The sequence below is a fragment of the Homo sapiens genome, chromosome 13, assembly GCF_000001405.40.
Source record: "Homo sapiens chromosome 13, GRCh38.p14 Primary Assembly".
In the NCBI taxonomy this organism is placed as follows: domain Eukaryota; kingdom Metazoa; phylum Chordata; class Mammalia; order Primates; family Hominidae; genus Homo; species Homo sapiens.
The window spans coordinates 114,070,396-114,086,114 of NC_000013.11; the positions used below are offsets into that span (position 1 = coordinate 114,070,396).

The 15,719-nt window shown below is 56.4% G+C and overlaps 1 protein-coding gene across 9 annotated transcripts in view, besides 2 other annotated features; it reads right to left on the reverse strand.

Annotated features, from left to right (window-relative positions):
• Nucleotides 1-15,719, reverse strand: part of RASA3 (RAS p21 protein activator 3) — a 154,841-nt gene that overhangs the window by 92,613 nt on the left and 46,509 nt on the right. For 4 of the 9 annotated variants that reach the window (NM_007368.4, NM_001320821.2, XM_047430156.1 and 1 more), the window contains one exon: nt 3,325-3,442. The exons of 1 other annotated variant lie outside the window; for it this stretch is intronic. In NM_007368.4, coding sequence (NP_031394.2) covers nt 3,325-3,442 — 118 coding nt within the window. Of the gene's footprint in view, nt 1-3,324; nt 3,443-3,918; nt 4,076-5,004; nt 5,250-6,451; nt 6,821-7,407; nt 7,561-15,719 lie in introns of those variants that run through there. 4 more of the 9 variants (XM_047430155.1, NM_001320822.2, XM_011534841.4 and 1 more) reach the window with 4 other exon arrangements.
• Nucleotides 2,696-3,895: an enhancer, noted in NCBI's record as "BRD4-independent group 4 enhancer chr13:114838566-114839765 (GRCh37/hg19 assembly coordinates)". NCBI's record gives its function as "activates an origin of replication core promoter dependent on BRD2, P300/CBP, MED14 and CDK7 cofactors, and independent of BRD4, by STARR-seq in HCT116 cells {active_cell/tissue: HCT116}" and the evidence as "EXISTENCE:reporter gene assay evidence [ECO:0000049][PMID:35650434]".
• Nucleotides 12,796-13,995: an enhancer, noted in NCBI's record as "P300/CBP strongly-dependent group 1 enhancer chr13:114848666-114849865 (GRCh37/hg19 assembly coordinates)". NCBI's record gives its function as "activates an origin of replication core promoter dependent on BRD2, BRD4, P300/CBP, MED14 and CDK7 cofactors, with strong dependence on P300/CBP, by STARR-seq in HCT116 cells {active_cell/tissue: HCT116}" and the evidence as "EXISTENCE:reporter gene assay evidence [ECO:0000049][PMID:35650434]".

A 15,719-nucleotide genomic window follows, 5' to 3' on the forward strand; every position in this document is an offset into this window, starting at 1 on the left:
ATGCATGTGCACCGATGGAGGGCTTCCGACCACAGATGTAGCGTGGATTCCAGCTGCAAGTTTATGAGAGAGCCAGCTTTTGGGTTCAAGTACCTTTCCTGCCAACTTTTTGTATGGGGTGGGTTGATTTGCGTTTTGCCCTCACACTACAGGGGCGGCCAGCCCGCACAGCCCTCCAAATGGACAGGGCTGCCAGCGTCCACACTAAACGGCGCCAGTGTTACACGTGGGCAGGGCTGCCGGCGTCCACGCTAAACGGCTCCACAGTCTTACACGTGGGCAGGGCTGCCGGCGTCCACGCTAAACGGCGCCACAGTCTTACACGTGGGCAGGGCTGCCGGCGTCCACGCTAAACGGCTCCACAGTCTTACACGTGGGCAGGGCTGCCGGCGTCCACGCTAAACGGCGCCACAGTCTTACACGTGGGCAGGGCTGCCGGCGTCCACGCTAAACGGCGCCACAGTTTTACACGTGGGCAGGGCTGCCGGCGTCCACGCTAAACGGCGCCACAGTTTTACACGTGGGCAGGGCTGCCGGCGTCCACGCTAAACGGCGCCACAGTGTTACACGTGGGCAGGGCTGCCGGCGTCCACGCTAAACGGCGCCACAGTGTTACACGTGGGCAGGGCTGCCGGCGTCCACGCTAAACGGTGCCACAGTTTTACTCTCTTGGAACTGTCCCACATGGGTTTCTCTTTCTTTGCTATCAGTCTTTTGTTGTGTGTGTTTTGGGTTTTTTTGAGACAAGGTCTTGCTCTGTCGCCCAGGCTGAAGTGCAGTGATGTAATCATGGCTCACTGCGGCCTCAACCTCCTGGCCTCAAGCAATCCTCACACCTCAGCCTCCCAAAGTGCTGGGATTACAGGTGTGAGCCACCACACCCGGCCAGAACCATGATTTCTATTTCTAAATTCTTCTGAAATATCTGAAAGACAACAGGCCCCCATTTCTCAACCTCACCTGAAAGAGAGGTTCCCAAACAGATTCTCCTCCCACTGGCTCTGATTCAGCGGGTCTGAGAGGATCCCGGCCTGAGAAAGACTGCCAGTAATTCTCCAGGCCCACAATCCATAGGCCTCTAACAACAGACCATTTAAACACAGAATGGACTTTTATCCAGGGAAGCTCCAAAGGCACTTCTGAAGGGCTCGGTCTCTTCCCATTTTCTTCAGAAGAATGGCTGTGCCCAGTCATCGCCATGGCAACCCCAAGACACTCTCATAAAGCCAGACTGGGCGCCTGACAATGCCCCTCAGCCTGCAGTTCTTTTTGACGAGTTATTTCAAAGAACCCGGAGCGTGCATTAACATAACACAAATGACTCTCACTCCTCGGCCTGGAGGGCAGCTGCGCCAAAGCCTTTTGGAAGCACTGTCAGTGACGGAGTGATATGAGCCCCAGTCTCTCCAGGGCAGGAGACCCCTCACAGTTTTCTAGTAAGTAAACTCACCCAGTCATCAGCATGGGTTGTTCATTCCCACTTGGAAGTAGCCAGATGCAAGGATATAATTCTTTAGCTAAACATGTTCTCAAAATCAAAATAGCTGTTTTGATCAAAGCACACGACCCATGCTTCTGAACTGAACGGTGCAGTCACAGCTGCAAGGATGTCTTCTCTGATCCCCAAGCCGCTCCTTATAACCCGGTGGAGTCACAGCTACACGGACATCTTCTCTGATCCCCAAGCCGCTCCCTTATAACCCAGCCGCCCCATGCTTCCCCCGAGGCCGCAGCACTGAGGCCCTGCCTGGCACACTCTCCCTGGCTTCTCTCTTCCCACCCCCGACATAAATCGCCATGGCTTCCTGTCCCTGTGCATCCCACCCCGTGCCATGTCCTGGTGTTCAACTGCAGTGGTCCTCCGAGTACGGCCTGGCCACTTAGCTGGAGCTTTTCAGAAACACAAGTTCTGGTTGTGCTCTGGACATCCTGGGGTCGGCACCCACATCTTCACACGCTCAAGTTGAGGGGGAAACTTGTTGATTTTAAGAGTTTGTTTTTCTTGGCTGACTCCTCTCTTCCTCAAATCATATCAATAAACACTTTCTAGGCCTCTTACCTCAGTTAACACCCATCTTCTGTATAGCTATTTTAGAAAATTTTACAGGAAGAGAAAAGCTTTCTCAGTATTTCCCCCTCTCGAAATCCTTAATTTGTACTCTTTTGTGGAGTGCGAGCTTCCCGGTTCATCTCTAATTAAAAAGCACTCGTGCGAGTCCACGCAGGGGGACCGCCGCCTACATGCACTTCCTGGACAGCGGGAGCATTTAGCCAACACCAGTTCACATCCACGCACCACCAAGGACAGAAGCTCAGCTGCCTGCACACCAGAGCCCCAGGGAGCATCTCCTCCTCAAACTAAGCAGGAGGAAAATGGGAAGGTGATGTACATGCTCAGGACATAATCTACATACAGAAAAATTCTCTACACGCGGGAAAATAGGATGGTGACGTACACGCTCGGGACACTGTCTACACACAGAAAAATTCTCTACACGCGGGAAAATGGGACAGTGATGTACACGCTCAGGACATTCTCTACACATGGGAAAATGGGACGGTGATATACACACTTGGGACATTGTCTACACATAGAAAAATTCCCTACACGCGGGAAAATGGGACGGTGATGTCCACGCTCGGGACATTGTCTACACACAGAAAAATTCTCTACACGCGGGAAAATGGGACAGTGATGTACACGCTCAGGACATTCTCTACACATGGGAAAATGGGACGGTGATGTACATGCTTGGGACACTGTCTACACACAGAAAAATTCCCTACACGCAGGAAAACGGGACGGTGACGTACACGCTCGGGACATTGTCTACGCACAGAAAAATTCCCTACACGCGGGAAAACGGGACGGTGATGTACACGCTCGGGACATTGTCTACGCACAGAAAAATTCCCTACACATGGGAAAATGGGACGGTGATGTACATGCTTGGGACACTGTCTACACACAGAAAAATTCCCTACACGCGGGAAAATGGGACGGTGACGTACACGCTCGGGACATTGTCTACGCACAGAAAAATTCCCTACACATGGGAAAATGGGACGGTGATGTACATGCTTGGGACACTGTCTACACACAGAAAAATTCCCTACACGCAGGAAAACGGGACGGTGACGTACACGCTCGGGACATTGTCTACGCACAGAAAAATTCCCTACATGCGGGAAAACGGGATGGTGACGTACACGCTCGGGACGTTCTCCACACATGGGAAAATGGGAAGGTGACGTACACCCTTGGGACATTCTCTACACCAAAGAAAACACATCAGTGCCAAGTAAAGCAACAGAAGACATTACCAGAGTGACTTTTCCACAATTTTGGTCCTGAAAACCTCCTCCTGGTCCAGGTTCACCGTGCAGTAGCAATCCCTCATCTTGCTCGGCCCCGGGTAAGAGGGAAGGTTTTTGGCTTCACCTAAAAAGTAAAAGCGACATACATCATCAGCAGCGTAGAAATGTTTGTTCCCTGCTACATCGCAGACACGTTTCCAGCCTTTGCTTGTGTGCATTCACTAGCTCTCTATAAAGCCTTGGTTTTTTTGCCACCACAAGTCAAAATGTGGATGTGCACCCCATGTGTACTGCCGAAAGGCGAGGGACATGCACGCCACCCTCTAATGCAAGTCCCGCAAGCAGGGACCTGCCAGCCTGGGACTCAGGATTGCTGTGTCTTGTTTACCTGCATTAGTCCCTTTATTTTAATTTTTAACATACAATTTTCCATCTCTGACCTGCTCGCGTGCACAGTTCTGTGGCATTAACCACGTTCACCGAGTTGTGCAACCATCACCACCGTCCTCTCTGGAACACTCTCGTCTTCCCAAACGGAGACTCGGTCCCCATTCAACACTCACTCCCATCCCCCTCCTGCTGTCTCCCAGTGGCCCTCACCCCACTTTCTGTCTCTGTGGATCTGACTACTCTGGGGCCTCACGTCGGCGGGATCCACAGGACGTGTCCTTTCAGCCCGGCTCACTCTACTCAGCAAATGTCCTCCAGGGTGGCCCCTGCTGTGGCCGCTGACTGGATTCCCTTCTATTTTAAGGTTGAATAACTTCCATGATGCAAAGGGACCTCGTCTTGCTTATTCATTTATCCACTGAGTCCCTTTTTATTTTGAATTTTATTTTATATTAGGTCAAAGTTGGAGCCAGAATTAAAGGAAAGAGCTCTTTCTTGTGGACGTGAGTTAACTGTAAACTCCAGCTGTTCGAATTGCCAGTAAAGAGAAGCGTCCCAGAGGGACCTAAGCTAGGTCCACCTCTCCCTCCTTCAAGCCCACAGAGACGCCACCTGGACGTGCTTGAAGGAAGTGGGGCCAGTTCCTGGCTGGCCCTGCAGAAAACGCCCGTGATCCCGGACTCCTTGTTTGCCAGGGGTCAGTCTGGAGGTCATAACTGAACCCCAGCTGCGACTTCTCTGCTGGAAGCTCGGAGCATGCCCCAGCGGCAAGCCTAACGGCCCAGTTTACTGGAGAATAGGGAGTGAGCAGGAAGGGATGAGTGACAGCTGTCAATCCAGACAGCGGATGCCCAGTTTAAGTCCATTCTGTAAAAAAAACGCCTCAAACACACTCGCGCCTCCCCAGGGCCTTTTCTGCCTCCGTCATTTGGCTCTAAAGACGCCTGGCAGTGGCGTCTCCACGACGCAGGATGAGAGGACAGATGCAGGCACAGGCACCACGCTGAGACCACACCAAGGCTCCTGCTGGCGCCACTCAGGGCCACATCACCTTATTCTTGTTGAAACAAACAAAATCAAAAACGGGAGCAGAGTAGAAGTTTCTCAGAACCCCACTTCCGCCACTCCGCGCTGAATGTTTCGCGTCAACTCAGCAAGCGCACACGTCATGGCTCACATGGGGCAGTCGGCTCATTTCAAAGATGCCAGTTTGCAAACTGGCATGCCAGCAACTCCAAAGGGCAGAGATAAACTCAGTTTGAAGCTTTTTAAAGACTTTTCATCCACAATATTAACCTGAGGCACTGTGAGAAGGAGCAGAAGCCCCAGGGTCTGGACAACGCCTCCCGTGTCCGCGCCGCGTATCTCTGCGTGTGGAGGCACCGGCAGGACGAAGCCTCCCGTGTCGGCGCCGCGTATCTCTGGGTGTGGAGGCGCCGGCAGGACGAAGCCTCCCGTGTCCGCGCCGCGTATCTCTGCGTGTGGAGGCGCCGGCAGGACGAAGCCTCCCGTGTCCGCACCGCGTATCTCTGCGTGTGGAGGCGCCGGCAGGACGAAGCCTCCCGTGTCCGCACCGCGTATCTCTGCGTGTGGAGGCGCCGGCAGGACGAAGCCGCCCGTGTCGGCGCCGCGTATCTCTGGGTGTGGAGGCGCCGGCAGGACGAAGCCTCCCGTGTCCGCGCCGCGTATCTCTGCGTGTGGAGGCGCCGGCAGGACGAAGCCTCCCGTGTCGGCGCCGCGTATCTCTACGTGTGGAGGCGCCGGCAGGACGAAGCCTCCCGTGTCCGCGCCGCGTATCTCTGCGTGTGGAGGCGCCGGCAGGACGAAGCCTCCCGTGTCGGCGCCGCGTATCTCTGGGTGTGGAGGCGCCGGCAGGACGAAGCCTCCCGTGTCGGCGCCGCGTATCTCTGCGTGTGGAGGCGCCGGCAGGCGTTCCCAGCAGCACCCGCTGCTGCCCACACGGAGCAGCTCTCAGGGTCTCACTGCTTGCGGCCGTTTCCCGCCAGTGCCCCCAACACACAGTCTACCTCTCTGGGCCTCAAAGTCCTGAACTGCAAAAGCAAGAGACACAGCAGCTCTCGAAGGCTCCTCCGGCTCTGAGACGCCTCTAATTCAAAAGGTTCTGGAAATTTTTATTTTGGGAATCATTAAGGAAGCATCAATGATAATCGGTTGGTGGGAAAAAATGAGTATTTCCTGATAGGCACTGGACCCTCAGAACACCTCAACACGGCGACTCTCCCGGGATGCGCCTTCTTCACCCGCTGCATGGGAGAACACAGCTAGGCTGCTACGAGGCACCTGGCTCCAGGCCAGGCCTCAGGTCGGTCATCCCATGTCAGAAGACAGGCTTTCCGAAGGCTCCCACCGATGTGAAGATCCCACACGCAGCACACGCACACACGCAGCGCACACACGCAGCACACGCACGCAGGCAGCACCGCACACACACGCAGCACACGCAGGCAGCACACGCACACACACGCGGCACACGCAGGCAGGGTGTGTGATGAGTTCACAGGCACGAAGGGGAGAACATGGCCGGCGAGCTTCTCCAGAGAGGGAAGGGAGCCTGGGGGATGGCAGTTGAGGTTCCCGGAGCAGACGCAGCCTTCCTGGTGGCCGCGGCTGCCCCTGAATTTGAGGGCAGCCGCAGCACACCCAGCAAGTCGGACAGGGGCCCCTCCAGCCTCCCGGCCCTGTTTTGGAACTGACGGCTTCTGCAGCAGATAGAAGTCCTTACCCTCAAACACAGCTTGACTTTGCTGACTTTCCTTCTGACACCTTTACAGTGTGACCTGACGCTGACCATATTTCCCTTGGGATTTTACTGGGTTTTTTGTTTTTGTCTTTGGGAGTTTTTTGTTTTTGTTTTGTTTTCTGGGATTTCTTTGTTTTTTGCAACAAATGAGTGTAGATATTTAGCTGTAAGTTCCTGTGTTTCTTAAAAGGAGAGAGAAAAAAGCTTTTGAAAGTCCTGTGGGAGATGGTGTTTGTGGATAATACGGAACTGAGATTTGTTCCCACAGGGCCTCAAATCACAGCAGTAACAGCTGGGTCTTCCGAAGGCGGACACTGCAGGACGGAAACACACAAGCTTTCTGTGGAGTCCCTGTAAGACAGACGCCGTACGACATGAAAAGGCCGGATCCCCCTGCGCTGGCGCCAACACACCAGATTCATCCCTCCCTGCCTGATGATGCCCAGTCCCACCGCACTGGCACCAACGCACCAGGTTCCTCCATCCCTGCCTGACGATGCCCAGTCCTACCGCACTGGCACCAACGCACCCAATTCATCCCTCCGTCCCTGCCTGACGATGCCCAGTCCCCCCACACTGGCACCAACACACCGGATTCATCCCTTCCTCCCTCCCCACTCAATGATGCCCAGTCCCCCCACACTGGCACCAACGCACCGGATTCATCCCTCCCTCCCTGCCCGACGATGCCCAGTCCCACCGCACTGGCACCAATGCACCGGATTCATCCTTCCTCCCTGCCCGACAATGCCCAGTCCCCCCACACTGGCACCAACGCACCGGATTCATCCCTCCCTCCCTCCCTGCCCAACGATGCCCAGTTCCCCCGCACTGGCACCAAGGCACCGGGTTCCTCCCTCCCTGCCCGATGATGCCCAGTCCCCTGGCCCCAAAACACACCAGGTTCCTCCCTCCCCGCCCGATGGCCCCGTCTTTACCTCCTTCTCCTTGCTCACTGTCATCTGGGGCTGAGACTCTTTCTTTTTAATCTACTTTTGCTATGATGCATTTAATAAAAAAAAAAGTGGGGGGACAAAATGCAAGCCCATTTCCCTGCCTCAGGCTTCTGATGCCATCACCTCCAAGGCACTGGTTTTGTTTCCAACTGTTAATAAAGCATTGAAACAGAAAAAAAAAAAAAAAACTCCTGAGAAACATCCTGGTTGCTATGACGACAGCAACACCAGGGAGCCTGCTGGACGCACCAACATCCAATGAGCTGCTCAGACCAGGAGGGCTGGGGCTGCTGCAGCACGGCCTGGCCACGTCGCCCCGGGGCCTCGCCGTGTGTGCCACATGCACCAGGACCGAGCCTCTCCCTGCAGCCCCACAGCTGAGCGGGACGGGGGCTGCCCCAGCTCCCAAGCAACTGTTTCTTCTCCACCGCACCCCAAACAGTTCATTCAGTTACCTTCACCAAAGGTGCCTGTTCTGTCTCTCTTAGAGGAAACACGTTTTCTCTTTTTTTTCTGGTGCACAGAGACGTTCATATAAAAAGACAAAGCTGTCTGTGGTATACAGTAAGTACCTAATTATCTGTTGCATGCATGGATGAATAAATGAATTAAAAGAAAAGTAAACTGGTTTCATCCTAACAGCCAAATAAGTAACAGTTCTCATGACCACTTTTCCCACAGACCATGCCTCTAAAACATATGCGGTGTGTTCACCAGCCGGCAGACTGATGAAGACAGCCAACACAGCACCTCGCATCGGCTCTGAAAACTCAACTAACAGGAGTAAAAGGCAGCACTTAAACACATTTAATGTAAACAGCATAACACCGCAAAACCTGATTTCCAACTCCAGGGATCAGGCAGTGAGTAACAAAAACAAAGGCCCTGATCCAAAGCGTCATGACTCCCACGCCCACGGCAGCCCTTCTGGGCCATGGAGGGAAGCTGCACCCTCAGGGTGAGCACAGGCCCAGCCCTGACCGAGGGTTAGGATGCCCAGGCTTCCCTGGAGGCCCACACAGGGTCTCCAAGTGCTGACAGCGAGCTGTCGGGGCTGCCCGCAGCACCCGGAGCCACACCCCTGTACCCAGGAGGAGCTGTGAGGGCATGGGGAGGTCTCCACAGACCCCACCCAGCACTGCTCCTCCCTGCAGGCATCCTGGGGAGGGCCCTCAGGCGGGGCTGGCCTCATGTACTGCTCAACACAGCAGCGGGCGTCTCCCAGGCGCTCAGCAGCTCAGCTCAGCGCCCAGTGAAGAGGGCGGAGGAAGGAATGAAGGCAGCCACGGGTGAGGACGAGGGCCCAGGGCTCCACTGAGCAAAGCTCCTGGCACCAACCCAGACAGAAGACGTCCTGGAGAGGCCAGGGCTGTGCTGGTACTGGCCGCGTCCACCCAGGCTGGGCGCTCTTCTCTTTCCCACGTCATCACGGCGTTTTACTCAACTACAGGTCGGCCTCACTGAAATAACGTGGAACAGGTGATGGCGACAGCCCCGGTGCATGGTCCAGCGAAAGCAACCCCGTCCCAGCAATAAAGCCCAGGGCCTGTTGGGGAAGGAGACCCTGCGGGAGAATTGGAGGAAGTGCGGCTCTCAAGGCTCCCAACCTCAGCCTTTTAGTCGTCCCAACGCAAAACATTCAAAGGGGCCTAAAAATTTTGCTAGGCACACAGCGTCTTCTAACAACATAAAGTATTTACCGGAACAATAGTCTTGTGACTAAAATATCTGAATAAAGGATGAAGAGCCCCGTCTACTTTGGGCTATTTAGAAGCCTGGAACAGCGATCCCAGCCCTGGCCCCTGGGATCCTCACTCGAACAGGTCCTCCTCCAGGCCCTGGCAGGGTCTCAGTGAGGCACAGAAGCCTCTGTGCCATGCGTGGGTAGAGACCCCTCTCCGGGCTCTGAGCTGCTGACTGCAAGGCCCATGTGCCCCCTGGCTCCTGTTCGCCTCTGGACACGGGGGCTCCGTGACTGGCCTCTGAGTGGGCCTGAGTGCCCGTCCGCACTGGCCTCCCCACCCGGCACCCTCCGTGGGACGAGGCTGCACATCTCGGTGGGCTGACTGCGGTGCAGAGGCCATAAGAGGAAGAGGCGGGGGGGCCCCGAGGCAGGGGACACAGCGTCTTGAGGACACAGCATGACCCTGACCCCCACGACCCCTGGCAACACAAGTGCCTTCCCGAAGGGCCTGCGAAGCTGCCAGAAATAGGCAGAACTCGGCGAGGCCGTGGGAGTGGGGTTTCCTCTGGGCCGAGTCGAGGGCAGACGGCACCTGCTCTATCCTCACGCTCAGGAGGGGCAGAGGCCGCTGGGCTTGGATGGAGCCAGGCCCAGGTCTTGTCCAGGGCTCTCCAGGGCACCATGCTCCTCCCTCAAGAGGACTCCTGTGGGTTATGAATGACAGAAGCCCAGGCTGCCATCCTCAAGCAAGGCACCCCCCAATCCTCCTGGCCGGGAGGGGCTGCTGGGAGCCCCTGGCACCAGCGGGCTTCTGTGGGCGGTGGAAGGAGGAGAGGGCTGTGCGGGCTGATTCCAAAACTCACTGGGTGACACCACCTGCCCAGGGAGGGCCCAGCACTGCCGTCCAGGGGGTCTGCCTGTCGTCCAGTCTCCTTGAGAGCACCTCCAGCTCCCTCCAGTCTCCACGGCTCTTCAGAGGGCACGGGAGGTTCTGCTGAGGGGCGGGTGACCAGGCCCAGATGTTAAACCCTCCCAAATAACGGGCATATTCAATGTAATTGAAACTTCCACCACAGGGAGAATGAGTCTATGGTGACGGGGTGGCAGGAGGGGTCCTAGAAGGCGCCCACTGTGCTTACTGGAGGCCTGACCCCGACAACGGCTGAAACAGGGGTCTCCCCCAGGGGCCACTGAAACAGGGGTCTCCCCCAGGGGCCACCTCCCAGGGCACGCTTGGATTTCACTATGGGCTGTGCAAATGGCATCTGGTGGGCAGAGTGCAGGGTGTCTTCTGTTCAGTGTCCTGCTGCACACGGTGCCCCAGGGCACAGGGCCGTCCACCTAGAACACCAATAGTGCCGTGTGGCAGAGGGCCGTCCACCCAAAACACCAATAGTGCCCCTCGGCAGAGGGCCGTCCACCTAGAACACCAATAGTGCCCCTCGGCAGAGGGCCGTCCACCTAGAACACCAAGAGTGCCCCTCGGCAGAGGGCCGTCCACCTAGAACACCAAGAGTGCCCCACGGCAGAGGGCCGTCCACCTAGAACACCAAGAGTGTCCCACGGCAGAGGGCCGTCCACCTAGAACACCAATAGTGCTGCGTGGCAGAGGGCCGTCCACCCAAAACGCAACAGTACCCCAGTTACACGCTCCTGGTGCAAATGACCCTCCTCTCGTGCTTGGTGCAAAGGCTGTTAGCAACGGGCCACACAGGAGATGCTGCCACGTCACTCCAGAGACTCACGCGTCCCGAGACCCAAGTGATCCCTAAACGTCTAGGAGGAGACCTGGCCTTGGAGCCAGGTCAGCCAGAAGGTTGTCCAGGCCGGGCCTCCCCAGGGCTGCCCAGTCTCCCGATGCAGTATAACTCTCAAGGCGCGGGGGCCGCATCACCCAGCACTCTGGAAATGCTGTCCGCAGACCACGGCCACCAGCACATGCACTCTCGTGGTTCTGACTGCCTGTGAATCCAGCTGGTCTACAATGAGCCGCTGGGGAAAATACTTCAAGTCCTGAGATGAATGGAGCAGGAATGCCTCTGGAATATCCTGAGAAACACGACTCCAAACCCTGTCAGCTGGTTCTAACTGTGCTCACTCTTATAAACAGGTAATAAAATATGGGAAAGAAGGCGATTGCAGACAGGGGACCTCTCCTCCACAGAGACGTGTCCACCAGGAGACTGAGGCAAATCCTATGGGTTCAAAACCGAAGTTTCACTGGCGGCTGAAAACACCCAGGGAATAACGAGGAAAGAGAAGGCAAAGGTGGGCTGAAATGAAGCCGCCCTTCTGAGTTCACAAAGGAGCAGAGACACACCGGTGCTGCACAGGAACCCCCAGGGCCCCCGTGTTCCTAGCGCAGCAGAGCCTGCCCCGCATCCAGGCTGCATCTCCTGGGGCTGTGACTCCTCTCCTGAGTCCACACACAGGACCTCACACCTGCACTCACCGGCTGCAGCTGCACACACAGGAGAGCTTCTCACAGGACAAATGCCTGGACCCCACCCAGAGATTGCCATTCTTTGACTAGGACGGGCTCCAGGCAGTAAGAACAGACATTCGTCTTGATTAGAAAGCCTGCAGGTGGTTCTGGGTGCAGCCAGGACTGAGAGGCATTACTTACTGCTGAGAACTGAGAAGGTGTGAAGATGCCCCTACCTCCTCGCCCCACTCACCGGGGAGCTGCGGGTCTCACAGGGGCAGGCAGGAGGCCAGAGACGTCCACGTCTGAGACAAAGGACATCACCGCAACAGCAGAGCCAGAGCTGCAGCGTCTGCAGGTGCCCTGGTTTGCCTCACGCAGTACCAAATTGGGATTGGGAACCCAGTGATGCCTGCACACATATCGGCTGCACCTTGGGAGCAGGGCCTGAGCCTGGGGAACCCTAGTCTCTTATAACGGGCAGTGGCAACAATGCTGACATCTGCCTCGGAGAGAGATGCTTTCTTCCTGATCACGGACAGTGGGCAAACCTCCCTGTGCTCCGAGGCTCCGAGGCTGCTCCCCGGGTGGACACACGCGCTTGAATGGAGAGTGAGGAACAAAGGGAACTGGGTCTTTCTCCCTTGATGCGCCGCACTGAGATAAAACCATGAAGAACGTCTCCCAGCTGCGTCCCGTCTGGGGGCAGCCCCAGAGAAGGAATGGGGGGCAGGGAAAACAACTTTCCTTAACCCAAGCAACGTTTAGTTCACACCCAGCCTGTACGCAAGAGGGGAAGGGACAGGCCTGGGGCTGCACCCCCAGGTGGGTGGTCCCAACAGAGGTTTAACAACCTGGTTCTCTAGGGGAAAAATGCATGCACGAGCTCAACTAGGTTAAGTCATACATTGCACTAGTGTAAAAGATGTGTAGCACACAACTCACAAAAAATAATGAGATACACAGTCCTCTACTTCAAACTCACAGAGCTAATTGATTCTCACAGCAAACTCTTGTCTCTAAGCCAATCCTGGGCTGCATTTAACCAGGATTTGACAAACAGAGGCAACGCACCCTCTGCTAGCTGGTTCTCAAAAAGTGCGTCATCACTGAGTGTGATATGTGTCGACCATTAAAACATTTCTCCCACTCATACAAATTATATTAAGCTGACATCTCTTCTGGCTTTCACACTGGGAATGCTGGCGCTTCACTCATTCATCAATGTCACAAGCAACTTTGTTGAATCAGGTGAAGTTTTAAATGCCAGAAAAACATTGTCTTAATTTTTTTGTGCTATTGCAGTGTAACCGCTATATACAAGATTATTTAATTCAGGGTAGCAAGATTAGATGATCAACAAAACCTTTGTTCAAACGTGAGCTCAATTTCCTCCGATGTGTGGCCCATCCTGATTTCTGTGGTGTGAACATTCCTGGCCGATTTCAAGCGACCAGTGTGGCCCCAAAGCCAGAGAGAGGAGAGCAGGGCCCCGTTCAGAGGCACCCACACCTCCAGAAGCACCCAGCCAGACAGCCTGGAGCCCAGCAGCAATGGCGTGCCGTGAAATCACAGGAAGTGCTGAGTCTGGAGTATCGACTCCCTTCGTCCTCGCGGGGAAATCACGGGGAAGTGGTGAGTCTGGAGTATCGACTCCCTTCGTCCTCGCGGGGAAATCACGGGGAAGTGGTGAGTCTGGAGTATCGACTCCCTTCCTCCTCGCGGGGAAATCACGGGGAAGTGGTGAGTCTGGAGTATCGACTCCCTTCGTCCTCGCGGGGAAATCACGGGGAAGTGGTGAGTCTGGAGTATCGACTCCCTTCGTCCTCGCGGGGAAATCACGGGGAAGTGGTGAGTCTGGAGTATCGACTCCCTTCCTCCTCGCGGGGAAATCACGGGGAAGTGCTGAGTCTGGAGTATCGACTCCCTTCGTCCTCGCGGGGAAATCCCGGGGAAGTGCTGAGTCTGGAGTATCGACTCCCTTCCTCCTCGCGGGGAAATCCCGGGGAAGTGCTGAGTCTGGAGTATCGACTCCCTTCGTCCTCGCGGGGAAATCCCGGGGAAGTGCTGAGTCTGGAGTATCGACTCCCTTCGTCCTCGCGGGGAAATCCCGGGGAAGTGCTGAGTCTGGAGTATCGACTCCCTTCCTCCTCGCGGGGAAATCACGGGGAAGTGCTGAGTCTGGAGTATCGACTCCCTTCCTCCTCGCGGGGAAATCCCGGGGAAGTGCTGAGTCTGGAGTATCGACTCCCTTCCTCCTCGCGGGGAAATCCCGGGGAAGTGGTGAGTCTGGAGTATCGACTCCCTTCCTCCTCGCGGGGAAATCCCGGGGAAGTGCTGAGTCTGGAGTATCGACTCCCTTCCTCCTCGCGGGGAAATCCCGGGGAAGTGCTGAGTCTGGAGTATCGACTCCCTTCCTCCTCGCGGGGAAATCCCGGGGAAGTGCTGAGTCTGGAGTATCGACTCCCTTCCTCCTCGCGGGGAAATCCCGGGGAAGTGCTGAGTCTGGAGTATCGACTCCCTTCCTCCTCGCGGGGAAATCACGGGGAAGTGCTGAGTCTGGAGTATCGACTCCCTTCCTCCTCGCGGGGAAATCCCGGGGAAGTGCTGAGTCTGGAGTATCGACTCCCTTCCTCCTCGCGGGGAAATCCCGGGGAAGTGCTGAGTCTGGAGTATCGACTCCCTTCGTCCTCGCGGGGAAATCCCGGGGAAGTGCTGAGTCTGGAGTATCGACTCCCTTCGTCCTCGCGGGGAAATCCCGGGGAAGTGCTGAGTCTGGAGTATCGACTCCCTTCGTCCTCGCGGGGAAATCCCGGGGAAGTGCTGAGTCTGGAGTATCGACTCCCTTCGTCCTCGCGGGGAAATCCCGGGGAAGTGCTGAGTCTGGAGTATCGACTCCCTTCCTCCTCGCGGGGAAATCCCGGGGAAGTGCTGAGTCTGGAGTATCGACTCCCTTCCTCCTCGCGGGGAAATCCCGGGGAAGTGCTGAGTCTGGAGTATCGACTCCCTTCGTCCTCGCGGGGAAATCCCGGGGAAGTGCTGAGTCTGGAGTATCGACTCCCTTCGTCCTCGCGGGGAAATCCCGGGGAAGTGCTGAGTCTGGAGTATCGACTCCCTTCGTCCTCGCGGGGAAATCCCGGGGAAGTGCTGAGTCTGGAGTATCGACTCCCTTCGTCCTCGCGGGGAAATCCCGGGGAAGTGCTGAGTCTGGAGTATCGACTCCCTTCGTCCTCGCGGGGAAATCCCGGGGAAGTGCTGAGTCTGGAGTATCGACTCCCTTCGTCCTCGCGGGGAAATCCCGGGGAAGTGCTGAGTCTGGAGTATCGACTCCCTTCGTCCTCGCGGGGAAATCCCGGGGAAGTGCTGAGTCTGGAGTATCGACTCCCTTCGTCCTCGCGGGGAAATCCCGGGGAAGTGCTGAGTCTGGAGTATCGACTCCCTTCCTCCTCGCGGGGAAATCCCGGGGAAGTGCTGAGTCTGGAGTATCGACTCCCTTCCTCCTCGCGGGGAAATCCCGGGGAAGTGCTGAGTCTGGAGTATCGACTCCCTTCGTCCTCGCGGGGAAATCCCGGGGAAGTGCTGAGTCTGGAGTATCGACTCCCTTCGTCCTCGCGGGGAAATCCCGGGGAAGTGCTGAGTCTGGAGTATCGACTCCCTTCGTCCTCGCGGGGAAATCCCGGGGAAGTGCTGAGTCTGGAGTATCGACTCCCTTCGTCCTCGCGGGGAAATCCCGGGGAAGTGCTGAGTCTGGAGTATCGACTCCCTTCGTCCTCGCGGGGAAATCCCGGGGAAGTGCTGAGTCTGGAGTATCGACTCCCTTCGTCCTCGCGGGGAAATCCCGGGGAAGTGCTGAGTCTGGAGTATCGACTCCCTTCGTCCTCGCGGGGAAATCCCGGGGAAGTGCTGAGTCTGGAGTATCGACTCCCTTCGTCCTCGCGGGGAAATCCCGGGGAAGTGCTGAGTCTGGAGTATCGACTCCCTTCGTCCTCGCGGGGAAATCCCGGGGAAGTGCTGAGTCTGGAGTATCGACTCCCTTCGTCCTCGCGGGGAAATCCCGGGGAAGTGCTGAGTCTGGAGTATCGACTCCCTTCGTCCTCGCGGGGAAATCCCGGGGAAGTGCTGAGTCTGGAGTATCGACTCCCTTCGTCCTCGCGGGGAAATCCCGGGGAAGTGCTGAGTCTGGAG